At 43.4% G+C, this 25,276-nt stretch overlaps 1 protein-coding gene and 2 long non-coding RNA genes across 8 annotated transcripts in view, besides 1 other annotated feature; 2 read left to right on the top strand and 1 right to left on the bottom strand.

The window, feature by feature from the left end:
* LOC105370062 (uncharacterized) overlaps nucleotides 1-17,226 on the top strand; it is a 32,191-nt gene extending 14,965 nt beyond the window's left edge. Inside the window, exons 2-4 of the long non-coding RNA XR_945515.4 lie at nucleotides 3,820-4,463; nucleotides 5,748-5,977; nucleotides 16,565-17,226. This is a non-coding gene — a long non-coding RNA (uncharacterized LOC105370062). The remainder of the gene's footprint in view (nucleotides 1-3,819; nucleotides 4,464-5,747; nucleotides 5,978-16,564) is intronic.
* LOC107984449 (uncharacterized) overlaps nucleotides 9,151-25,276 on the bottom strand; it is a 97,530-nt gene continuing 81,404 nt past the window's right edge. For 2 of the 5 annotated variants that reach the window (XM_047429960.1, XM_047429961.1), the window contains one exon: nucleotides 18,045-21,469. In XM_047429960.1, coding sequence (XP_047285916.1) covers nucleotides 20,708-21,259 — 552 coding nt within the window. In that variant the 5' untranslated portion in view covers nucleotides 21,260-21,469 and the 3' untranslated portion in view covers nucleotides 18,045-20,707. Of the gene's footprint in view, nucleotides 16,770-16,868; nucleotides 16,980-18,044; nucleotides 21,470-25,276 lie in introns of those variants that run through there. The other 3 variants (XM_024449289.2, XM_024449290.2, XR_007063517.1) reach the window with 2 other exon arrangements.
* Nucleotides 20,326-21,003: an enhancer, noted in NCBI's record as "H3K27ac-H3K4me1 hESC enhancer chr12:127630723-127631400 (GRCh37/hg19 assembly coordinates)". NCBI's record gives its function as "activates a minimal SCP1, AML or CMV promoter by ChIP-STARR-seq in naive H9 embryonic stem cells {active_cell/tissue: H9 hESC(naive)}" and the evidence as "EXISTENCE:reporter gene assay evidence [ECO:0000049][PMID:30033119]".
* LOC107984450 (uncharacterized) lies at nucleotides 21,101-25,176 on the top strand. Of its 2 annotated transcripts, XR_007063520.1 has the most exons (3): nucleotides 21,101-21,239; nucleotides 21,347-21,535; nucleotides 23,531-25,176. It is a non-coding gene; the product is annotated as an uncharacterized LOC107984450 (long non-coding RNA). The 2 variants fall into 2 exon arrangements; XR_001749390.3 differs by lacking the exon at nucleotides 23,531-25,176 and having other exon boundaries at nucleotides 21,347-23,093.

Genomic DNA, 25,276 nt, shown 5'->3' with positions numbered 1-25,276 from the left:
GTAAATTTGTGAGGTCAAACATAATTACATTTGCCTGGCATGGTGGCTCACACCTGTAATCCCAGCCCTTTGGGAGGCCGAGCCAGGCGGATCACTTGAGGTCAGGAGTTCAAGACCAGCCTGGCCAACGTGGTGAAACCCCATCTCTACTAAAAATACAAAAAATTAGTCAGGCATGGTGGCGGGTGCCTGTAATCCCAGCTACTTGGGAGGCTGAGGCAGGAGAATCGCTTGAATCCAGGAGGCTGAGGTTGCAGTGAGCTGAGACTGTGCCACTGCACTCCTGCCTAGATAACAGAGTGAGATCCTGTCTCAAACCAAACAAACAACAAACAAAATTCTCCAGGTGTGGTGGTGGGTGCCTGTAGTCCCAGCTCTTCAGGAGGCTGAGGTGAGTGGATTGCTTGAGCCGGGAGAAGGAGTTTACAGTGAGCCTAGATCACACCGCTGCACTCCAGCCTGGGTGACAGAGGGAGACTCCGTCTCAAAAAACAAAACCAAACAAAAAAAGATAATTGGAAGCTTTGACATGGTTGTATCTTAGAATATGTGCAAATAAAAATGCAAATAAAAAATGTGTACCAACTCACTGAGGCATTTTGTTGAGGTGATGTATCATTTTCCTCATTGCCAGCAGGTGACACAAGAAGAGTTTAAAACAACAGCGGCTTTTAATTGCTTACAGAGCTTTCTCAATTAAAAGTCTAGTGTTGTGACTGCTTAAAAAATCAGATCCCATTGGCTGAGGAGCCAATGGGGCGAAGCTACCATCTGTGGGATTATGACTGAACGCCTCTTAAGTCAGAATCCCGCCCAGGCGGAACGATACGGCAGCCCCGCGGCGCCTCGGTTGGCCTCGGTCGGCCTCGGATGGCCTCGGTCGGCCTCGGTCGGCCTCGGTCGGCCTCGGTCGGCCTCGGATGGCCTCGGTCGGCCTCGGTCGGCCTCGGTCGGCCTCGGATGGCCTCGGTTGGCCTCGGTCGGCTCGGTTGGCCTCGGATGGCCTCGGATACCTCGGATAGCCGGTCCCCGCCGGCGGGCCGCCCCGCCCCGCGCTGGGACCAGGGTCCGGTGCGGAGTGCCCTTTGTCCTGGGAAACGGGGCGCGGCCGGAAAGGCGGCCGCCCTCTCGCCCGTCACGCAACGCACGTTCGTGGGGAACCTGGCGCTAAACCATTCGTAGACGACTTGCTTCTGGGTCGGGGTTTCGTACGTAGCAGAGCAGCTCCCTCGCTGCGATCTATTGAAAGTCAGATCTCCACACAAGGGTTTGTAAAAAAATAATAATAATAATAAAAATAAAAAATAAAAAATAAAAAAACCATCAGATCCCCATGGCTGACAGATGCTTTAAAGGTAGTGACCCCATCCCTCCAGGCTCAGCTGCTTCCTCCACTTTCTCCTCCTCCAGGAAGCCTTCCCTGACCACAGCAGACCATGATGGTCTTTCCCTTCTCTCACTTCCACGCTCTGACCCCACAGTTGGGGTAAGCACCAGTTTATCCCAAAGCTAAGGAGCTCCGGGGCCTCTACGGAAAATAGAAAAGTTTCTTAACGTTACCCTAATAAGTTGTAACAAATGTAGTGGCTAAAAACAATATAAATTTATTATATGACAGTTCTTTTTTTTTTTTCTTGATATAGAGTCTCACTCTGTTACCCAAACTGGAGTGCAATGGCACGATCTCGGTTCACTGAAACCTCCGCCTCCCAGATTCAAGCAATTCTCCCACCTCAGCCTCCCGAGTAGCTGGGATTACAGACACCTGCCATCATACCTGGCTAATTTTTGTATTTTTGTAGAGACGGGGTTTCACCATGTTGGCCAGGCTGGTCTTGAACTCCTGACCTCAAGTGATCTGTCCGCCTTGGCCTCTCAAAGTGCTGGGATTACAGGTGTGAGCCATCGCGCCTGGCCAATATTACAGTTCTGAAAGTCAAAATGGTAACATGGTAATCTAGTAAGCTCAAAACGTTACTCGTGTTGGCTATGTTTTGTGTGTTACAAAGCATTGCCAGTATCTTTTTTTTTTAATCCTCAGATGGTCACTTCTTTATCCAGAGGGATGGCCTGTATAAAGGGATGGTCAGATCCCTGTATCTTTTTTGACTAAATTGCATTAATAGTTGACAATGTCCTTGCTTTCAATCATAACAAGATATACAGGTTCATTTTGTACCTTTTCAGACCAATATTTGGAATCAGCCATTTCCTTTTGGGGCTCTGGTTCTCTTTACTGGTCAATAGCATTTAGAGATCACAGTCTGGGTCCTGGGAGTAGCCATCTCTTCCTTAGTGCACCAATGTCTTGATTACTATCAATTAATAGTAAGTCTTAAAATTGGGTATGGCTTCTTCCAACTACTTTTTTGATTTTCGACATTGTTTTGGTCTTCTAATTCATTTTGTTTTCCATATATATTATAGAATTAGCATATCTATAACTATAAAAATCCTGGTGGGATTTTAAGTAGTATTGCATTAAATTTAAAGATCCATTTGGGGAAAAGTAACATCTTTACTATGTTGACATGAATTAGTTCTCATTTTATGTAGGTAGTCACTGATTCTGTTATCAGCATTTGTAATTTCCAACATACCAACCTTTACATGTCTTGTTAAATCTATATCAATGTATTTCACTTTAGGGGAGCTATTCTACATAGCAGTGGGGTGTGTGTGTGTTTTAATTTGAGTTTCTAATTATACACTGGTAAGATATAGAAATTTGGTAGATTTGGGGGTTAACCTTGTATTCTGAGACCTTGCTAAATTCACGCATTAATTCTAGAAGGTTTTTGGAGATTACTTAGGATTTTCAGGCTTCTCATTAACCTCAGGAGGCTGCTCCACAATGACATTGCTTGTCCTGACCTCTGAGCCAGACTTACTAGGCATTGCCTTTCCGGAAGATTGTTGGCTGTCATGGCAAAGAGAGACAAACGAGTAAGATGAAGCATGCAGGCCTCTAATATCTTACACCTGGAAGTGACCCACATGATTTCTGCTCACATTTAATTGGCCAAAACAAGACACATGACCACTTCTCAGTCAATAATTTTGTGAAGTGCTCTCTTACGTGTATGCCTGGAGAGAGACAGAAAACAACATATTTTCCAAGCACCCTAGTATGGTACAACAGAAGATGTTCAAATCTGTTAGGATTCCTTTCTGTAACATGGGCCAATCCTGGGAAATTAAAGGCCTTCGTGCTCTGGTTTTCTGTGAGGTGCAGAGAATATCTTAATATTGCATCTTTAATTGACTGAAATGGTAGAAGTGTGTGTTTTAAGGTAGTGGTTGTCAAACTTGCAGAGCTTTGTAAAAAAAAAAAATGAACTCCCCAGGTGACTACTGCTAGATCTTCAGACCTCTAAATCTGGGATAGGACTCAGGAATCTTTGTTTTAGAAAGCTCCTTAAGTGTTTTCATTATTAGAGCTGGGAACCACTCCATGAGGGATAGAAAGAGACCTGGGCCCCAGGTGGTAATGAAGTGAGCTGACCTGCTTGCCAGACCCCAGTGACTTCCTCTTCAGGAGAAGCCCTGTCTCTTCCTGTAGGTGACTCTCAGGCTGTCTCAGGGTCTCTCCCTGTTCCCCTCACTAACAGCAGCATTGGGGTAAACAGAAGAGGTGGATGTTTGCAGGATTCCAATGCCAGGAAACATTTTCTGCCGGATGTCTGTATCTCAATATTTCCCTCAGACACAAGCACATTGAAGTAAAGGGCATACAAAACCTCTTCAAAATTATGGTATGTTAAGGCAGAAAGAGACTAAAAGGTAGATTCATAACTATCTGCCTTCCTTTTTTTGCAGCTACCTTGATGCTGAACATCCCCTGAAGCAACAGGACTGCATGAGCTTGGTGTGGCTGAGCCCATGTCCTAATGAACATCCAGAAAAGAAAGACACTCAGAAAGCCAGGAAAATGGAAGAATTTTTTTTTTCAGCCAGCCAGGCACCTGACAGTAATCAAAATCTGTAAAGAACAGGATGTGGAGCCTCCTCTGCTTGTTCAGCACGAACATTTTGTGGTGGGTGCTGCAAAGATGACTCAGACACAGTCTCCACCCCAGGTCACTCATAGTCTAGTGCAGTACACCAAAGCTGTGAAAGCTAAAGGGCAGACCATTGGCCCATCCAGGGAGAGTGGTAGAAGAGGGAGCATTTATTTGAATAGCTGTGATGCTACCAGTCTGAAAAAAGGGGAAGGTATCTTGAGAATAAGAAGCAAGTTTTCAAAACACAGAGGCAGAATGGATAGAATGGGGTGAACACAGTAAGGTGCAGAGTGTGTGATGAGCGTACTTGTCAGGTCTCAGATGAAAGTGACCAAGACCTAGCTCCACTGTGATGAAGCCTGTAAAGAAAGACATACATGAACACACAAATAAGGCAATGCATTTTCTTACGCAGCTGAAAGGTACAAGAGAGGACCAGGTTATCAAAAATGTCTTCAGGTAATGGAATTTTCATATTTGGTTCTATTTTATTCTGTAATTTTCAGGTAGATGCTTCCCAAATAACACAAGATAAACACCGGCAGCTCCAAGCTATTCATCTATCAGCAGAGAAAACTGATGGAAGGAAGGACAACTTCCCTCAGTATTCTCAGCAAAGCCCCAGGAACAGATCTCATTGGCCATCAGGCCTGCCCTTTAAATACTCTCTAAGAGGTGTGACGCCCTGATTGGTCAGGCCTGGGTTAGGTGACTTCCCTGCATCCTGAGGTTGAAGTCAGCCCCATATGAAGGAGATGCATGGAGCTGCAGGGATGGAGGGTGACAAGGGAGAAGGTGAATCTACAAAAAAAAAAAAAAAAAAAAAATCAAGTGCTAATTTCAAAAGGGGGATTAATTGTGGTAAGAGAGAGAATAGAAACAAAACAAAAACAGCAAGTCACAGTTGCCTACTGCAAGCAGGCAGTCACTAAGTAGTTTTTTGCTATCTTGTGTTTATATGCAATGAAATTTTTCCCAATGTGAGGCATTGAGTCAGATAGAAATCTGCAGAAATGCGTGTTCTAGAGAGAAAAAGTAGGATGAATGCAGGGCAGGTAAATAGTTCTGCACAGTGCATGTGTGTTTGTTTTCATTTTGTTTTATTTTACTCTGCTTTGTTTTCTCTGTAATGAAAATAAAATGTTGAAGCATTCACAGAAACAATGATGCCTTCTTGGAGGAGAACACTAGCTGGCTCAGAAAACTGTTTCATTACCCACCCATTGTTTACAACATTGTAAGTGTAGAAGAGGTGCAGAAAATATAAGGGTGCCCTTAAAATACCATTTGAAAGATTTTGTAATGTTTATAAATGGTATACCAATGTTTCACTGCTGAGGACTCAACTCCACATTTTAAGAGAAAAAAAAGTGATAAATACTGGGTGTCTTGGCCCATTGGTTTGTTTATCTGTTTGTGGAAAGGCTGATATAACCACCCAACCTGTTCTTCCTGCCTGCTGCACAAACAAAATCAATTCACAGCACAGCATTGCAGCAAAGAAAATGTAATTGACATGAGGCCAGCCATGCCACATGGGAGAGAGTTATTACTTAAATCAATCTCATCAAAGGCTGGTAGACTGGGGGTTTTTCAAAGCTCATTTTGAGGCAGGAAAATAGGGTCTGGAGGCAGGGAGCATAAGGCTGATTCACACTTCAGCTATAACAGGAAATATCCTCTCCGTAGGGTGTATGCGGTAAATGACTTTGTAACTTTACTTCCTCCTCCCCATTTATATAGGGTGTACCCAAAGCAACCAATGGAACAAAGAATTGGACAAAACGCACAAACAAAGCAAGAAGGAATGAAGGGTTTTATTGAAAATGAAAGTACACTCCACAGTGTGGGAGTGGGCCTGAGCAGAGGGGCTCAAAGGCCCCATTGTAGAATTTTGGGGAGTTTAAATATCCCCAAGAACCTGAACAACCTCTGCCGTTAACATATTTTGGTGACCCGGGAAGGAGGAAGAGGTAAGCCCAAAATTTGGGATTTATTCTTCTCCTTTCTCCTTTTCTTTTCTGCTCCATACAGGGGAATCTCTTTCTCTCTCCTTTCCTTTCCAACCCGGGACCCTTGGTGGGCAGCGTCTAAACATGGAAGCAACTTCAAATTTCTGGCCATGGTCAGTGAAACTAAGGGGTTTCCATGTGGAGAAGCCTGACCCCCACCACCCGGTTCACTTAAGGAATGTGGATCTCTTTCATTTTTTTTCCACTTTCATTTTCAGTCTTTCAATGGCTGTCTCCTAGTACTTCCTTGGAAATTGAGGGCAATTGGCTGGGGTCACTCCCTGGTATTGCCCGAAGGCCTAAGAATGAATGGGAATAATTGGCCTGCCCCGAAGGGGGAAGGCTCTTTTTAATGTATTTTCGGTGTGTGGTCCCTGATCCCTATATGTGGCACAGCTCAGAGCAAACCCGCACATGTTTCAGGTGACTTAAACCTTCTTTTCCTATGCTAAATTCTTCCCTTCCCCTATTCAACTGGCTAAGGGTGAAGGAAACCCACCCAGCCTCCAGTTCCTATCATTAAAGTTCATGGAATGAGAAGCATGGAAAAGCGTCTCTAATTATAAGGCCTTATCAAATTATAAGGATGCTAAAATTTGGGGATTACACCCAGGTACCAAAGGAAAGCTCATAGTAGGCTCTGGAGGGAATGCTTGCAAAGTGGCACCAGTGCCCACCTAAGGCCAGAGACCTCTGGAGCGCTAAGATTAGACCCCACAAGTGGACACTCCTGGGGATCCTCCAGACCTCAAACTCTCCAAAGAGGATGCTCCTGGCAGAGGTTCTGAGATCTAGTAATAAGACCTCTTTGGAATTTTCTCTCACAGTTGCAATGCTGCTTGGCCCCAAAATTGCTTAGAATCTGAAGTTTGCTGTCGAATTGGAAAGTGGGATGGCATTGCATGTATTCAGGCTTTTGTGCTGCTGTTCTAAGCAGGGAGCCTGGTTAACGTGTGACGCCCTCCTTTGGTACTGTTTGGCCCCAGTGCTCCTTGGAGTCTGGGGAGGTTTAGCCTTTAAAAATCAAACTGCCATGGAGACTGATTTACCCAAAATTTTGGTTCTCAGCCTTCCTTGGATTATCTATTGGGGCAAAGTAAAACTGGCAAGCTTGTATTGCTATCTCACGGCCAAGGTTCCAAGCTATTGGATCTTCGTTTATGTGTGTGTATACATGTCTAGATGTGATTATTTGTATATACACTTATTGTTATATATTGTGTCTTCCAAATTGGTTATAAGTAAAAGAATGCTCATAAATTAAGTAAATAAGTCTGAGCAATTTTCAAGTTCACATGACTTAAGTATAACTTTATTAAACAAACTGGCTTTACAATTATTGGTGGAATAAAAAGAGAAATGCCATCAGAATTGTCAGCATACATTTTGTCTGAATTTTATGTTTGTCTTTGCTAGATATTTAAAAATGTTAGTGTTAGTCCAAGCTGGGAGCTGCTAGGGGCGAGCCTGCCTCCCATTCTATTCAAAGTGTCACTGAGATAAATGCATATATGATTGCTTTCTTTGGAAAGGCTAATCAGAAAGTCAAAGGAATGCAACCATTTGTCTCCCACCCATGATCTGAAAGCCCCAAGCCCCCTCCTCTCCTTGAGTTGTCCCACCTTTCTGGGCCAAACCAACGTTCATTTGACATATGTTGATTGACATCTCCCTTGTTAAAAATAAAAAATTGAGTACAGTGAAGAGGATAATTATTTTAAGTAAACTTTTTGTGTAAATTAAAATCTTAAAGTTATTTTTAATGCTCATTTGATATCTGGGTCATTTCCAATTAAAAATGGGTAGTAATATGGAGAAGCATGTTGCTAAAATTGTGGAATTATTCCTGTCTATAAATGCCCATATCTAATAGTTCAGGGTTTGCTTTTTAGGGTTTCACTAAAGTTTTAGGTTACTAAATATAAAATTCTAGTTAGCACATAATTCTGTATACAAAATGTGCCAGAAAGGCTTATTGGTGGAAAAAAGAATAATTTTGTCTAATTCTGAAGTTGTATAAAAGTTAGTTCAAATTACAGATTTGAAAAGGTTATTTATGAATCAGTGTAGTAAGGAATCATTAAGTAGGGGAGAAAGGAGTGGAAAAAGTTTAAATAATAAAATATTCCTCAAAACATGATAAAGAATTGGAAACATTTGGCTAATTAACATTTTCATAGTTAAAACTCTTAGTGTTGATTAAGGTAAGAAGTATTGTAAAAATGCATCGGCAGTTTCGCAATTCTTTTTTTACTATAGTTAAGCATGAAGCTGAATTTAGCGTAAAACCAATGTTCACACACATGCTTGCATCACTTCACTCTGTTCACCATTTTCCGTGAATAGTGCTGGAGCACTTATTGGTCATCTGCCTGAAGTGGATTTCTTGATTGCACAGAATGTCTAATGATATTGGTGAACTTAAGGATATTGAATTGTATATCAGGAATAAAATGTTCATTATATGGGTTTTGGGGGGCCCTAGGTAACACTGTAGTTTCCAGGGTAAGTTGAGTATGAAAATTTAGGTTTGTTTTTTGGTTTATTTGTTTTCTCTTCTAGTTTTCATTGGTTTGCTGTTATTCTCCTTTGGTTTGCTTGTGTGTCTCTCTATATAATATAAACCCATGCTAGTGGAAGGCTTTTATTTGGTTCTGTGAATAGTTATTTTGTTTCCTATGCATTTCTAGCAAGTGGTCATTCATTCCATTTATCTGGAATTCCTAAAGCTACCTTTGTTGGGCTACAGGAATTAATGGAATACACCAGGTTTTTATCTTTAAACAAACTTTGGATTTTAGGTTTCCTGATACTTGAAGTGTGTTGAGTGTACTCTCACAAATAGAATTTGAGTCATATTTATCTCTCTCTCTGCCTAGTTTCTTCAAAATTTGTAAAGTGTTTGTGAATATTCTTGATTCATGGCAATGTGTTTGTTTGTATACAGTCAGGCAGGGTCACCAGGGGTGCTCAGGGAGAGAGAACCCAGAAACCCGGCATGCAGGCAGAAGGGTAAGAATTTCTTACATCAGTCTCTGGTCTCTTTCTCTCTGTGCAAACTGGTTAATCGCCACTGTTAAGTTTTAAATTAATTGTGTCACGCGAGTCCGTGTTAAGAGAGTCCACCAACAGGCTTTGTGTGAGCAACAAGGCTGTTTATTTCACTTGGGTGCAAGTGGGCTGAGTCTGAAAAGAGAGTCAGCAAAGGGAGATAGGAGAGGGGCCGCTTTATAGGACTGGGGTAAGCAGTGGAAAGTTACAGTTAGAGGTGGTTATCTGTTGTCAGCAGAGGAGGGGGTCACAAGGTGCATGGTGGGGAGATCATAAGACTCATTGTCCAGAAGAAGAATGTCATGAGGTCGATCAATCAGTTGGGGCAGGGCAGGAACAAGTTATAATGGAATGTCATAAGGCTGGTCAATCAGTTAAGACAGGAGCTGGCTGTTTCACTTTTTTTGTAGTTTTGGGTTGCCTCAGACTTCTTGGCTCCTGCAGGCCATCTGGACATATATGTGCAGGTCACAGGGGTTACAATGGCTGAGCTTCAGCTCAGAGGCCTGACATTCCTGTCTTTTTACTTATAAAATATAAAGTTATAAGAAAAGATAAAGAAATATAAGTTTTACTGGGGATTATTAGGGTAGGGGTGATGTTTCTCGGGACTGCTTCAAGCATGACCAGGGACTGCATGGACACCTTAAAGAAAATTTTATAATGAGTTACAAGGCATAGGAATTTAGGTAGTGGGGAGATCTTGGGGCAGAGGATGGTACTGTGGGGTTGTTAAAAGTAGCATTTGTCTTATAGAATGATTGGTGATGGTCGGAATGCGGTTTTGTATAAATTGAGAAACCAAACTGAAGACACAAGGCCCAAATAACAGAAGGAAAAAAAACAGGTATTAAAGGACTAAGAATTGGGAGGACCCAGGACATCCAATTAAAGAGTGCCCAAAGGGGTTCAAAGTAATTATTTACTTGATTGGCGAGTTTTTGGGCTCTATCCTTGAGTTTTTTTTTATGTTGTCATATACCAGGCCAGATTGATTTAGGTAAAAACAACACTCTTCATTTAAAAATATACAGAGTCCTCCTTTTTCAGCAGTGAGTAAGTCGAGGCCTATTCCTGTCTTCTTATATTAATAATAAGAAAAACAAAACAAAATAGTAGTGAAGTGTTGGTGTCATGAGGGGAACAGGAAGCTGTTCGGTCCTGTTTGCGAATTGATTTTTGGGGGTAAGGAAAACTCGTGTACATGTGCCTGTGCAATTGATAGGTAGACACATGTAGGTGGAGAAGCCACAGAGGAAGAAGAGACTTTTCTAAGGCAAAACTGGAAATGTAAAGTGAAAAGATGAGAGGGAGCAGCAAAAGAGGTGTCTTGCACCCAGACTCTTAGGGATTTAGCAAGCGCAGCAGCCGTTAGAGGTTGTAATGGGGATTGATGAGGCAACTGGATAAAGGGGGAGATTTGATTTTTATGGTGTATGAGAAAGCGCACAGTGTCTGTAAGCAACCTTTCATTGCTATTCATGGGGCTGGGTATAAGTAAACAAGAAAGGGGGCTGGGAGGACAGTCTGAAGAACAAGAGGAAGGTAGCCAAGGATGGAGTGAAATGCAGGGCAAATGTCTTAAAGGAAATGAGAGGTTCTAAGTGGTGGACTAGTGGCTTGTAACCCACGTGGAAGAGGTTATGAAAGGATGATAGAATGGAATGAGCCTGTCAGGCTGGAAGGAGGAATTTTCAGTTGGAGAGTAAGTAGGAGTGACTGACGAGAAGGTGAAAAACTGGCCATGAGGGACAGAAGTAGGAATACTGGCTGCTTCTTTAGCCGTCTTATCAGCATAAGTGTTACCTTGAGCAGTGGGGTCTGAGGCCCTTTGATTGCCTTTGCAGTGAAGGACTCCAGCTTCCTTTGGAAGTAAAGCGGCCTTGAGAAGAGTTTTTATTAAAGAGGAATTAATGATAGAGGACCCTTGTGTAGTGAGAAAACCTCTTTCTGTCCACATAACAGCATGGTGGTGCAGGATATGGAAGGCATGTTGAGAGTCAGTATAAATATTGACACACAGTCCTTTTGCAAGAGTGAGGGCTCGAGTTAAGGCAATGAGTTCAGCTTGCTGAGAGGTAGTGGAGGGGGATAAAGTGGTAGCCTCAATGATAGATGTGGAAGATACTATAGCATAGCCTGCCTTTGCTGGTGAGTGCAATTAGGCCTGGTGGAACTGCCATCAATAAACCAAGTGTGATCAGGGTGAGGAACAGGAAAGAAGGAAATACGGGGAAATGAAGTGAATGTCAGGTGGATCAGAGACATACAGTCATGGGGGTCAGGTGTGGTATCAAGAATAATGTGGGGGCCAGCCTAAAACAGTAAGGTCAAGTTGTTTGGACAGAAAGGCTACAGGGTGCAGTCCCAGCTCTTGTGTAAGAATTCTGACCACACAGCCCTGCACTTCAGCTGTGTGTAATAAAAAGGGTTGGGATAAGTTAGGGAGAGCTAGTGTGGGAGTAGTTCTAGTGCTGTTTTTAAGGAATGGACAGAGGAGTGGGGAAAGGATTTAGGATCCATGGGGTCAGCTAGGTTTTCTTTTGTGAGTTTATATAATGGTTTAGTCAGGATGGAAAAACCGGATATCCAAAGGCAAAAGTACCTAAATGTGCCTAGGAAGGAAAGGAGTTGTTGCTTTGTAGAAGGGGTTGGGGTTTGGGAGATTAGCCAGACATGATCAGCAGGGAGAGCACGTGTGTTTTTATGAAGAATTATGCTGAGATACGTAATGGACGAGGAAGAAATTTGGGCTTTGGAGGGGGATACGTGATATCCCTTTGTGAATAGATGTTGGAGGAGCAGGAGAGTGTCTTGTTGGGAAGATATGTAGGAGGGGCTATAAAGTAGAAGGTCGTGAAAATATCGAATAAGACGAGAAGCAGATGGGCAGAAAGAAAGTAAATCATGAGAAAGGGTTTGACTGAAGTAATGGGGGCTGCCCCTGAAGCCTTGTGGCAGTACAGCCCAGGTAAGTTGCTGAGACTGATGGGTGTCAGAGTCAGTCCAAGTGAAAGCGAAGAGAGCCTAGAATGAAGGGTGCAAAGGAACAGTAAAGGAAGCATGTTTGAGATCCATAACAGAATAATGGGTTGTGGAGGGAGGCATTGAGAATAGGAGAGTATATGGGTTTGGCACCACTGGGTGGATAGGCAAGGCAATTTGGTTGATAAGGCACAGATCCTGGACCAGCCTGTAAGACTTGTCTGGTTTTTGGACAAGTAGGATAGGAGAGTTGTAAGGAGAGTTTGTAGGCTTTAAGAGGCCATGTTGTAACAGGTGGGTGATAACAGGCTTTGACCTTTTTAAAGCCTGCTGTGAGATGGCATATTGGCACTGAGCAGGGTAAGGGTGATTAGGTTTTAGTGGGATGATAAGGGGTGCATGATCGGTTGCCAAGGAGGGCGTAGAGGTATCCCATACTTGTGGATTAAGGTAGGGAGACATAAGGGGGGGATGTGAAGGAGGCTTTGAACTGGGGAAAAGGGTGGCAGTGAGGTTTGGCTGTAGCCCAGGAATAGTCAGGGAAGCGGATAATTTAGTTAAAATGTCTCGACCTAATAAGGGAACTGGGCAGGTGGGGATAACTAAAAAGGAGTGCAAAAAAGAATGTTGTCCAAGTTGGCACCAAAGTTGGGGAGTTTTAAGAGGTTTTGAAGCTTCACTGTCAATACCACAACAGTTATGGGGACAAGGGAAACAGGCCCTTGAAAAGAAGGTAATGTGGAGTGGGTAGCCTCCATATCGATTAAACAGGGGATGGACTTACCCTCCACTGTGAGAGTTTCCCGAGGCTCGGCGTCTGTGATGGTCCAGGGGGCTTCCAAGGTGATCGGGCAGTGTTAGTCTTCAGCCACTAAGCCGAGCAGATCTGGGAAGGAGTCGGTCAGAGAGCCTCGGGCCAGAGCTTTAGGGGCTCTAGGAGTGGCTGCCGGGCGAGCTGGGCAGTCGGATTTCCAGTGGGTCCCTGCACAGATGGGACAGGGCTTGCGGGGGAATCATGGGCAGTGGGCATTCCTTGGCCCAGTGGCCAGATTTCTGGCACTTGAAGCAAGATCCTGATGGAGGAGGTCCCGTAGAAATGCCTGACCACTGCGGCTTAGGCGTTTTGAAGTTCTTGGGTGCTGGAGGTCTGGCTGGGTTTTGTCTCAGAACAGAGGCAAGTAACTGTAACTCAGAAATGTGTTGTCACTTGGCTGCCTCCTCTCTATTATTGTACACCTTGAAGGCGAAGTTGATTAATTCCTGTTGTGGGGTTTGAGGGCCAGATTCCAGTTTTTGAAGCTTTTTTCTAATGTCAAGAGCTGACTGGGTGATAAAATACATACTGAGAATAAGACGGCCTTCTGGCCCTTCAGGGTCTAGGGCTGTAAAGAGCCTCAGGGTTGCTGCCAAACAAGCCAGGAACTGGGCTGGGTTTTCGTCTTTACCTTGGGTAGTTTATGTAAGTTTGTCAAAAAGTTGGGAGCAGAACTGGAACAGCTGTGGAAGAACAGAACTGGAACAGCTGTGGAAGAAGGGTCAAAGCTAATCCCCTCTTCCAAAGAGCAAGCATATCAAGTCTTTTTCAGGAACCATGAGTATTAGCAGATGCATGAAGAGAACTGATCCCGAGTTATGCATGTAGCCAATCCAACCAACTTTTTCAAACCTTTTGTTAGGGTAGATTCCTTAACATGCTGATCAGAGAGGGCGCCCGTCCTATCTAGGGAGACATGGTACAAAGAAGCTTCTTGAAGCACATAGTCATCAATTGGTCTTACACATATTTGCAGGAGAACACAGGTGCTATCTCACATTTTTAGCTCTATGAATGAGTAAAGCAACAAGTGATTTATGTGTCCTGTCAAACAAGAATCCCCCCCAAAATGCATAATCTTCTGGTATCTCCTATAATTCTAGGCATATATTTTATGTATGATACTGGTGATATTCCCTCTTTTGATTCTTTTATCTCTTTATAGCATTGGTTACCATAGAGACAAAGATAACACTGCCCTGGGCAATGCTTATGGAAATTTATCAGTAAAAGTGAACATCAATTTATTAGGTAGTGACTTTTCCTGTTCACACAATTAACTCTCAGAAGGTAGCCTGTTTATGAAACATAGATAAATAAGCTACATGGGTGAAGTTACTGTTCACATGCTCAAGCATTCAGATGGCTAGACAATTAAAAGTAAATGACCTGTGCTATTATTCAATATTGACTCTTCTAAAAATTCAGTATCTAGGTTGATGTATTTCTAGATCCCAATTACTCAGCAGCTAAATGTTTAAATTGCTTCATACCTCAGCTTTCAATAACTATGAAATATTTTCAGCCTCTTATGTTTGAAACAGGCTATGAATTCTTGTTTTTGTTGCTACGGTGATCTATAGCGTCACCATTGTAATAACCACATCAAATGCAGGCATTAAGTAGCAATGTAATACCTCTATATAATTTAACACCAACTATTTATAACAACCTGTGATATAATTGAAACTATTTCATAAGGAAATTTAAAGTAAATAGAAATAAATTACCCAAGACTGAAACATAAATATCTGAGGGATGAGCATGAACACAACATGAAAAAAAACTGATGATAAAAAAATCCATTTCTAATAGTTGGTGCAAATCTATGGTTAGTTGTAACCAGACCAGTTTGTTTTCTATCTTGCAAATGGAAAAAAATAAACACATACAAATTATTAGGGCAGGAGGCATCAGGGCCTTTTTCTACAGGCTTCAGTGATGCACTTATAGTCATTAACTCTTGGAGCATAGGTTACTAGTCTTTGGCAATACTGAAGACTGAAGTTGTATGGTAGATTCCTTAATGTGCTGATGAGAGGGAGACTCTTCTCATCCAAGGAGACGTGGTACAAAGGAGATCCAAAGGGTTAAACTAGAAATGAGGTCGTTTCATATTTCCTTCCCGCTGTATGTTTTCCTCCTGCTTGATGAAGAGACTTGCCTGTCTCTTCACAGCCAACTCCCAAGTGAAGATGAGTTGGAAACTGGTCAGATACGGGGTCCTGAAACATGGACCACAGAGTGGGAGAGCCAGGTTAGGAGAGAAAGAAGGTGAAGCAAGATGCTGAGAAGAAAAAGAATAAAATAATCTCCTGGAAAACAAACATACAAATCCCTTTCTCATTCCCAAGAGAACATTAATTTGATTTAAGATTTCTTCTCTTTTTCCTTGTACTTCAGAAAAGCTGACCTAATTGCCAGCTCCAAGATGCATAAACCCAGGATCCTGTTGATGACAATGTTTGATCCAAGGGTAAACACATGTCCTGAGTTGCCTCAATCAGACTAAAGGAAGGGACCTTACAGTTTTTGATTAGGGAAATGATTATTTCTCTGTCTTTTTGACTCTCTGTGATGATGTGAGCACATAGATCAAATGAAACTTCTAGTGCAGGGCTCCCCAACCCTGGTCTGTGGCCTATTAGGAACCGGGCCACACACAGCAGGAGGTAAGCAGCAGGTGAGCCAGTGAAGCTTTATCTGTATTTACAGCCACTCCCCATCACTTGCATTACCATCTGAGTTCCACCTCCTGTCAGAGCAGTGTAGGCACAAACCTGAATGTTAACTGCATATGTGAGGGATCTAGGTTGAACGCTCCTTATGAGAACTTCATGCATGATGATCTATCACGGTATCCCATCTCTCCCAAATGGGACCATCTAGGTGCAGGAAAACAAGACCAGGGCTCCCACTGATTCTATATGACGGTGAGTGGTATACTTATTTCATTATTTATTACAATATAATAATAATAGAAATAAAGTGCGCAATAAATGTAATTTACTTGAATCATCCTGAACCCATCCCCCCAACCTGCCCCAGTCTATGGAAAAATTATCTTCCATGAAACCAGTCCCTGGTGCCAAATGGTTGGGGACTGCTGTTCTAGTGGACAGCTGAACAGAGAGATGAAAAGAGCCCTATGTATTAAGGATTTGGTTGAACAGCTGAAGTGACTGAAGTTGGAGGATTTCCTTCTTTCGGCTTTGCAATGTGAGCTACTGATTTTCATGTTATTTTAAATAGGTGCGAGGCAGCCTTCTCAAGATCTGTAGCTGGAAGCAGCGTCTTGTCTGCTACAAGACTAGAGCAGTTGAGTCAAATATCCATGTTCCCTTGATTCAAGGAGCTTTCAGTTTTAGGGAAAATATGACATCTTCATGGTCTGGCTTTGAGCCTGAGGAGCACTAAGAAGTCACTCTAAGGAAGGTGCTGTTCTGGAAGGGAAGCAGGACCTTAAAACACTTCAGTGCACTCCATAAAATGGTTGGGGCAAGTCAGACATGCAGAGTTGACTTGGAGGCCCTCTCTGGAGGACAATAAATGTGTTTCCTACTTTATTATGCCCCTAAAAGAAAGACACGTAGTGGCGATGTCAGTCAGTGTGCTTTTTGTGGTTTCCAGTAAACAGCTGGAATAATTGGTGAAATCTTAAGGCTAGTACTAATAAAGAACATTATTGCCACCCACAGGCCTGAAAGATAAGACAAAGAGGTTCCTACAACCTGGAGACCGAGAAGGCTGCCAGGCAGGAGCTGTGATTGCAGCTGAAAGATGCAGCCGGTCTTTAGCAACTCCACATGGAGGAAGCCAGGAAAATAAATACTCCAATCAATCACAATTTCTTTTTCTGCTATGTCTTGCCCATGCTCTGAATTTTTCAAAATCGACTGGAAGCTAGAAAGCAAAGGAGAACTTTGGTGAGTCTACTCTGAATATGGGACACAGAGCAATGGGGAGAAAGGTTATCAGGAGACACCCAGTTCAGGCACCTACCTCTTCCACAATAACAACTTCTGTTTCACTCAGCATTACTTTGTGCCCAGCTGAGAAAGGACTGCATTCTCCATTCTCTTACATTTGCGTGACTGTGATGTGGAACTGGAACTAACAAAAAGGAAGAACATCAGAGGAGGTGCAAGAAGCAAGAGAGGGAAAGCACCGTGGTGGAACAGTGGCTGATAGTTTTCTGGTAGAGTGCTAGAAAAACATTTAATAATGAGCATGTTCCATATCCAGTGATTTTATTTATTTTTTTATTTTGATAGTTAAGTATTTAAGTGTTCCCTTTGTGCCAGGGAATGTATTATGGACCAGAGAGTAATGAAATAAAGATGCCATTTCACTTCCTGCACTCATGGAATATGTTAATGTGGAGAAAGGGAAGACAAACGATATCCATATATCTATATTTATATATCCTTCTGATAAAGATGATGCCAGTATGAAGTAAAGCAAAGCAGAATGAAATGCATGAAAATTGCCAATCTGTAAGTGACAGATCTGTAAATAGTCAGAAAGAGCCTCTTTTGAGGACAAATTGTTGGCAGGTAGCTGGAGAAGAGCAGAAATAGCAGCTTTCCTGGGGCTAGAGTTCCTTCTTGGAATGCTATCCACACACACAAATTTTTTTCCCCTTCTTTATGTGGATCAAATACAAATACAAAAAAATGTAATACATCTTTAGGCTTGAGAAATACAAGTTCTCTTAGAGAAGTTTAGGTCCACACTCACAACATCCATAGAAATAAAATCCACATGTTTTAGTGCAAAGGGCTGGCTACTGGGAAAAGACTTGGCTGCCCTATCAGGAGAGCCTGTGGAATTTACCAAAGAGCCCTGTTGCTTATCCTGTGGTTTCTTGTATTCACCAAAGCAATGTATCACCAGATGACAGAAGTAAAACTCTTCTCTTCTTTTTTCTCTGTGGTTCACTTAATGGAGATAAAGCCTCCCAGTAGAGCAGCCAGTGAAGTGTACTCTTTCCTAATAACCTGATGAAAGATGCGTGGAAAGATGGAACAGAATTGGACCAATCCCTCATCCTGGAGCAAAGTCTAGCTGATTTCAGCAGGATTCACAGATTATGGACAAGAAAAATAAGTACTTGAATTATAAGCAACTGAGATTCGGGTAGTGTTATGTAGCATTATGACAACAATGGCTGCCTTATAGAATACATCACCATTGCAAGCCAGTTTATTGCTGCATTAATTCACAAAACAGGGGCAATATTAAATACACTTAATATTAAATACAAATAATATTAAATGCATATTTATTAGAAATTTTTCAGGATTAAAAAAGGTACAAAGGTGTGTTTATAATAGTGCCTGGCATAGTAAGAGTTTTCTAATTGTGGTAATGTTCTTGTTGTTAACATAACTTATTTAACCAACACACATTTTTTTTCCTGCCAATTGTAAGGTCTTGGCAATTTTTTCATCAGAAGAAGTGAATATTCAGAATATCAAACTTGTTCAGGCCTTTGTAAATCAGTCTGCTTAAGGATTATTTACATTATCATAGTCAATATTTGGGTATCTGAATCCAAATTGTGCTACCAATGTTTTACATACAATTTAATACAAAACTTTAGAGAAGTTAAATTTAACCAATTTTATGTGACCAAAGAACAATTCATATATAAGGCAGCACTCCAAACCAGAAGAGGTTTAGACAGCTCTGCTCAGCAGTCATAAGCAGCAAATTTGTACAGGCTGAACAATTAAGCAAAGTAGAAAAGTTACCTGATTGGCCTCGCCTAGGTGGCTGCCTTATTTGAGCATCATGTGATGAGGCATTTGCCTTATTTGGGCATAGTCTTGTTAGCTGGAAGCCTGTGATTGGCTGAAATCTGGCTATCTGCTACAAAAAATTTACTCCTAAATTAGGTTTGGGTTTATGTACTAAATTAGGCTGCAATTTATTATGTAGGAACTCAAAGTAAAGAGACAACCTCAGGTTGTCTTCCTGCTTACTTAACAGTGCTGATGGGTGTGAAAGAAAATAGACTCTCAAGACCCCAAACTCACCATGCCAAAGGGAAAGTGAAGCTGGGAAACTAAGTCATGCAATACTGCCTTCCTTTTGTTCCCAAAGAGCTGTAATTTCACAATCCTGTGTCGTAGATTCATCCATAAGCCAGATTCCCACAACAAAAGAAAGCCACAGATCTCCTCAGATGGCCTCCCTCACACATTGCTCCCAAGGAAATTCCTTGCCAGTCGCTGAATCTTCAGGATACACAGCTCCTCTGTAAGTTAGTCCTAAAACTGAGTTCTGCTGAATCTCACCCTGACAATGTCAGTTACCAGCTTATCTTCACAGGGCAAGGACAAGATTAAAAATCCACGTGGGCCTATCCTGAGAGGAATGCATTATTGACTATTTCCTTTACTCCCTCTTTTCACATGTAAAATGCAGATTTACTAGGGTAAACAGAGTTTCACAAGAATGTGAGCATCTGTCATTGCCTACACTTCCTCGCTTTTTTTCCTCACCTGCTTGCTGTTTCCCCTTTAAATACTGAAGTTCCCAAAACCCTCTTTGGAAAAAGTAGAAGGCGCAGATGCTCCTGTGATCCCGTATTTTTTCCTAGATGTGTCCTTGGACCTTGGCTAAATAAATCTCTATGGATTGAGGTCTGTCTCAGTCATGTTTTGAACATAGGCTTGGTCCAACACTAACTGAGAAGTTGGTGACTGAGGATACAGAAGACAGGACTAGTCATTCCCTTGAATAGGCAGGAGATGATGGCCTACCCCGTGCACAAATGACTGGGGAACAGGAAGGCTTACATAGGAGCATGACCCTTTACCTATGGTAACGAGAGAAAAGCAGAGTTCACCACAGAGCAGTAGGATTGACCTTGGCCACCTCTGCTGTCTCATAAAGCAAGCAAGGTCATAGGGTAAAATTCACACAACTGAAGTCAGTGAATCCCCAGGTGTCTTCCTCCCCTAATGTGGGGTGTTGCTCCTGTTGGCTTTTCTCTGCATGAGTCCTGATCTGAGTAACTTCAAGTGTTCTTTTTTTAAATTTTTATTTATTTTTTTATTTTTTCCTCCCTTGAGACAGGGTCTTGCTCTGTTGCCCAGGCTGGCATGCAGTGATGCAATCTTGGCTCACTGTAGCCTCCACTTCTTAGGCTCAATCAATCCTCCCATCTCAACCTCCCCAGTAACTGGTACTACAGGCCTGCAGCCCCATGCCCGGCTATTTTTTGTGTACGTGTTTGTGTGTGTACATATATATATATATATATATATATATATAAAATCTTATTATTATTTTTTTTGTAGGGAGTCTTGCTATGCTGCCCACGTTGGTCTTGAATTCTTGAGCTCAAGCAATCCACCCGCCTCGGCCTCCCAAAGTGCTGGGATTACAGGCTTGAGCCACCGTCCCAGCCACCCAAGTATTTTAAAAGACCCCCTACTTGGGGGACTTGACCACCGTAGCCTGGCCTTTGGCTTGAGGTTCAGGGAGCTCCTAGGGACACCTCAGAAGGAACGGATCCTGACCTCTGGGACTCGCAGGCTCTGGAGCTCTCGCTGCGTTCAGGCCCGGGTGCTGGGGCAGGCGTGCTCCTAGGCAGGGAGAGGGGTGGCCATGGTCTCCGAAGCCCATTTCTCCTAGCCATGCCTGGAGGCGTAGTTTCCGGGTCTGAATCATGGTGCCCGCGGCCTCTTCTTCTTCCCGCTAACTCCCAGCCCTCGAGGAGGGGAGGTTCCAGGGACGCGCCCAACTCCCACTAGGGGCCAGTTCTCCCTCAGGACGCCCCGCGACTCTAGGCGGCGGGTTCTGGAATCCACGCTGGACATGGCCCGCAGCTAGACTCCCTCCCGGGCTGAGTCCACCGTGTCGTGCTGCGGGTCTACACGGCCGCCAGCGTACTCCCCGCCCTGTCTCCACACTACGCCTGATTGGCGAGCCGCGGGGCGACGACCTCGTCCGCGCGTCTCCTGGAGGTGCTGGGCACATCCTCCGGGTCCTGAGGCTGCGACCTGGGGCTCCAGGTCCTTGGGTGCTGGGGATCGCTCAGCAGCCCCGTCCTCTTCGTCATCGTCCTGTGCTCGCCTGCAGCGCCGCCGACCGCGCAGAGAGCGAGGCCGGCGAGGATCCCGCGCGCAGGCGCACACGGCTGCGACCACGGCTAGGAGGGCGGGGGCGGGGCTTCGTGCCGCGGTAGTTCCGGCGAAGCGGGTGGGCTCCCTTGCGCAGGCGCAGACGGCGAAGCTCACGTTCTCAGGAAAGGGTGGTGGGGGCCCGGGGTGCGTGAGAGGCGCCTGGGCGCAGGCGCAGACGACGGGGGTCGAGTTGGGCAGGCGGTAGGGGCGACCTGGGAGAAGGTCCCTGCTGCAGGTGCGTGGCCATAGGAGCATCTGGGCCGTCCCTGAGGTGTTGCAGTTGATAATTTTATTATTTTACAGTCTCTAAAAGTGTTTTTGTTTTTCTTTGTTTTGTTACAGACGTGGAAATGCATCTTGTTCCAGTACATCACATTCCAGGGAGCAAAGAATTCTTTTACAAAGCCGGGTGTCATCATTTTCTTAGAAGAAGAACCATTGCAACAGGGCTCAAAGTTGACTCTGCTGGAAAGGCAAGGGACAGGGAAATGATGATAACATAAGCAGCCGGCTGTGTCATTCCTTCCATTTGTATCTTTTTTTCCCAGTAATTTGTGCCCATGGCTTTGTTTAGAGTCTCCTGCTTGTTTACCTACTCGCTATATATCTATATCTATATCTATATCTATATCTATATATATATAGAGAGAGAGAGAGAGAGACAGAGAGAGAGAGAGAAAACCCTACTGATAAATCAGCGTTCCCATCACAGATTGCCCTTCATTTCTAATTAATGGGGAATTCTAAAGAGGGAAAGCTGTGAGCTGGAAGCATTCCCTGAATAGCAAGTGCATAAGAAATGTTTTTGTTGCATGTAATTTGTATGAAGGTGCCTAAAGTAAGGCTTCATCAAGTTTTAGTTTCAAGTTTTAGTTTATTTGTGAAAACTGATTTCCAATTTAAGCCATTTATTAATTCTGTTTTTCAGAGAAACTTGACCGAGCACTTGCCGTGCTTCAGGCATCGTTCAAGGCAACAGGGTTATGGTCTTGAATAGGAGAGACAGAGTTCTCATCTCTAGACAGACTGGCAGTAAGCCCGAAAATAGATCAATACACAATATAATTTCAGATAGTGACTTTTTGCTACAAAGCCAAAAGTAAATTAAGGTGAACAGATAGCGTATTTTTAGAGGGGGTGCTACTTGAGATACAGACGCGAGGCTTATATCTTACTCATGCAACCTGCCTTTCGAATGGAGCTGGAGTGCTGTACTTTGCATTGTTCTCATCTCAGGACTGTCAGACATTATAGAACAAAGGAGAGAACTGGCAGTACTTGCACTGTCTCTTAAAGCTTCAGTCCAGAAATGATACCATCCTTGCACATATTTCACTGGTCAAAACAAGTTACAAATGTAAACTGACCTTCAAATGGGAGAGAATGTAGAATCCCACCATGTGCCCCAAATAAGAGAAAGCCAGAATATGTATGAGCAGTCCTAATGATTATAACACATGAAAACATCTCCCCAAAATCGCTGCCTAGAGAGGACAATATACTATTCTCATTTCCCCTAAATTGAAAGGGGAACTGGTTATAAATACAGAATATTTTAGGATGGTGCAGCCACAGTGAAAAATGTAACTCGAAGGAGAGGGGTTGGAATAGCGATGGTGGTGGTGATTCTGCACATTGAGTATTTATTTTCAGACTGCCACGACCTTTCTACCTCATGCTACTATAATTTGCATATATAGTTATTCATGATCCTGTATGCTGTGGAGGGCACCAAGATAGCATCCTAAGCAGTGGTTTACAGAGGTAGCAACTGTGAATTCCAGATGCAAAGTTTGGCATGAAGCTGGGGTTGGGAAATATAATCAAAGCTCTCACAGTGATAAATGAGGTACATAATTTTATGTCTGTCACTGGGTAGCTTTGAAATATTAACCACAAAAACCTCTCTGAACTGTAAAGTTTTGCAAGCAGATATCTCTTCTGTGTAATGAAGGTGGCAAGAAGTTACATCTAGAACAAAAGCATTGCTCATGAAGTGGAAGTGTAATTTTGTCTTGTGACAGTAATGCAATAGTGTCAAAAACTCAGATCTCCATAAGGAAAAAAAGATCATCAGAAAAAGATAAAACTATTGTTCTTTCTTGTAATTGGACTAAATGGTAACTGTTAAAGTAACAATATTAACAATACATTGGGTGATTATAGTTTTTGGATAAGTGAAGTCAGTAACAGTAATGTCATATGAATCAGTCATATTGTATTGGAAGATTTCTGTACTACATGTGAAATAGTATAATGCTATTTGAAGGTGGACTTCGATTATTTGTGAATGTATATTGCAAACTCTAGGGCAAGCATACACAAAAATTAAAAAGAACTATAATTCACATACTAAGACCAAATAAAATATAGAATCAAATAAAATGCCCAATTAACACCAGAAAAGGGGAGGGGCAGGGCCAAGATGGCCAACTAGAAGCAGATGCATTCAGAGGCTCCAAAAAAAAAAAAAAAAAAAGAAAAGAAAAACATAATAAGTGTGTGAATCCTTCACTGGCAACCAAGGTATCCAGATTCTCTCATCAAAATTGACTAGAAGGGTGGCGTGACTCACGGAGAGAAGGAAGATCGGTGTGGTGTGGCAGCCCACCTGAGAGCCACCGCAACCCCCTACCCCCAGCCAAGGGACGCAGTGAGTGAGCATGCCACCCAGCCTAGGAAACTGTGCTTATCCCACGGAAGTATGCAACCCACGGATCGGAAGATCCCAGTCACGAACCCACCCCACCAGGGCCTAGCCTCCCAACCCTGGAACACGCAGATTCTTACATCCTCTCAGCTGGAATCTGCTTAAGCCTGAGGAACTCCTAATGGGAGGGGCGACTTGCACCTGCTTCAGCTGCCTGCTCTCTAAGCCTTTTAGCCTCATGGGGGAGGGGCAGCAGCCAGTACTGGGACTCGCAACTGCCTAACAAGCTAAGCTCCATGGGCAGGGGAAGGGTGCCACCCATTTCTATAGCTCCAGGCTGCGTTTTTCTGCTGGTGGAGCCAAGGAGGCTGGACAGCTTGGTCCCAAGACTTGTCCCACAGCTCAACGCATGGGCTGTGCCAGTCTGTGGCCAGAGTGCCTCTTCAGGTCTAACCCTGACCCATCCTTCTTCAGTGGGCGGGGCTTCCCTGCAGAATCTCCAATAACTCCAGCCAGAGGATCTCCCTGGGCCTGAGCCCCCAGGGGGAGGGGTGGCCACAGTCTGCAGATCAGCAGACTTAGCCTCTCCTCTTGGTAGTTCTGAGGAATCTGGGCAGCCTAGACAAGTGGGCTTCCCCCAGTGAAACACACCCTCTCCACCAAGGGACAAAGTGCTTTGTTAAATGGGTCCTGCTCCCTGTGTCACCCAACTGGGTGAGACCCTCCAGCAGGGGTTGTTAGACACCCCATACAGGGGCAATCCTACTGGCATCAGGTTGGTGCCCCTTGAGGTCAGAGGTCCCAGAAGAAGGAGGAGGAAAACATCTTGGCTGCTCTCCAGCCTTGTCGAGTGGCATTTCCAGGCACAGGACCGAATCAGATGAATAAGACCTGAAATGAACCCCCAGCAAATTGCAGCCACCCTACAGAAGAGGGACCTGACTATTGAAAGAAAGTAAACAAGCAGAAAGGAACAACAACAGCATCAACAACAACAACAACAACAAAAAGGCCCGCATAAAAACCCCATCCAAGGGTCAGCAGCCTCAAAAACCAAAACTAGACAAACTCATGAAGATGAGAAAGAATCAATGAAAAAATGCTGAAAACTCAAAAGGCCAGAGTGCCTCCTCTTCTCCAAATGATCCCAACATCTCTCCATCAAGGGCACAGAACTGGACAGAGAATCAGATGGACGAATTGACAGAAGTAGGATTCAGAAGATGGGTAATAAAAAACTATGATGAGCTTTTTTTTTTTTTATGAGCTAAACAAGCATGTTCTAACCCAACATGAAGAAGCTAAGAACCTTGATAAAACATTAGAGGAATTGATAACTAGAATAACCAGTTTAGAAAGGAACATAAATGACCTGATGAAGCTGAAAAACACAGCAAGAGAACTTTGTGAAGCATACCGAAGTATCAACAGCTGAACTGGCCAAGTGGAAAAAAGAATATCAGAGTTTGAAGACCACGTTTACTGAAATAAGACATGCAGACAAGAATAGAGAAAAAAAGAATGAAAAGGAATGAACAAAGCCTCCAAGAAATATGGGACTTCATAAAAAGACTGAACCTACAATTGATTGGAGTACCAGAAGGAGACAGGGAGAATGGAAA

The sequence above is a fragment of the Homo sapiens genome, chromosome 12, assembly GCF_000001405.40.
Source record: "Homo sapiens chromosome 12, GRCh38.p14 Primary Assembly".
Classification (NCBI taxonomy): domain Eukaryota; kingdom Metazoa; phylum Chordata; class Mammalia; order Primates; family Hominidae; genus Homo; species Homo sapiens.
Note: the sequence above shows the minus strand (reverse complement) of the source record. Positions and strands in the feature narration are given on the sequence as shown.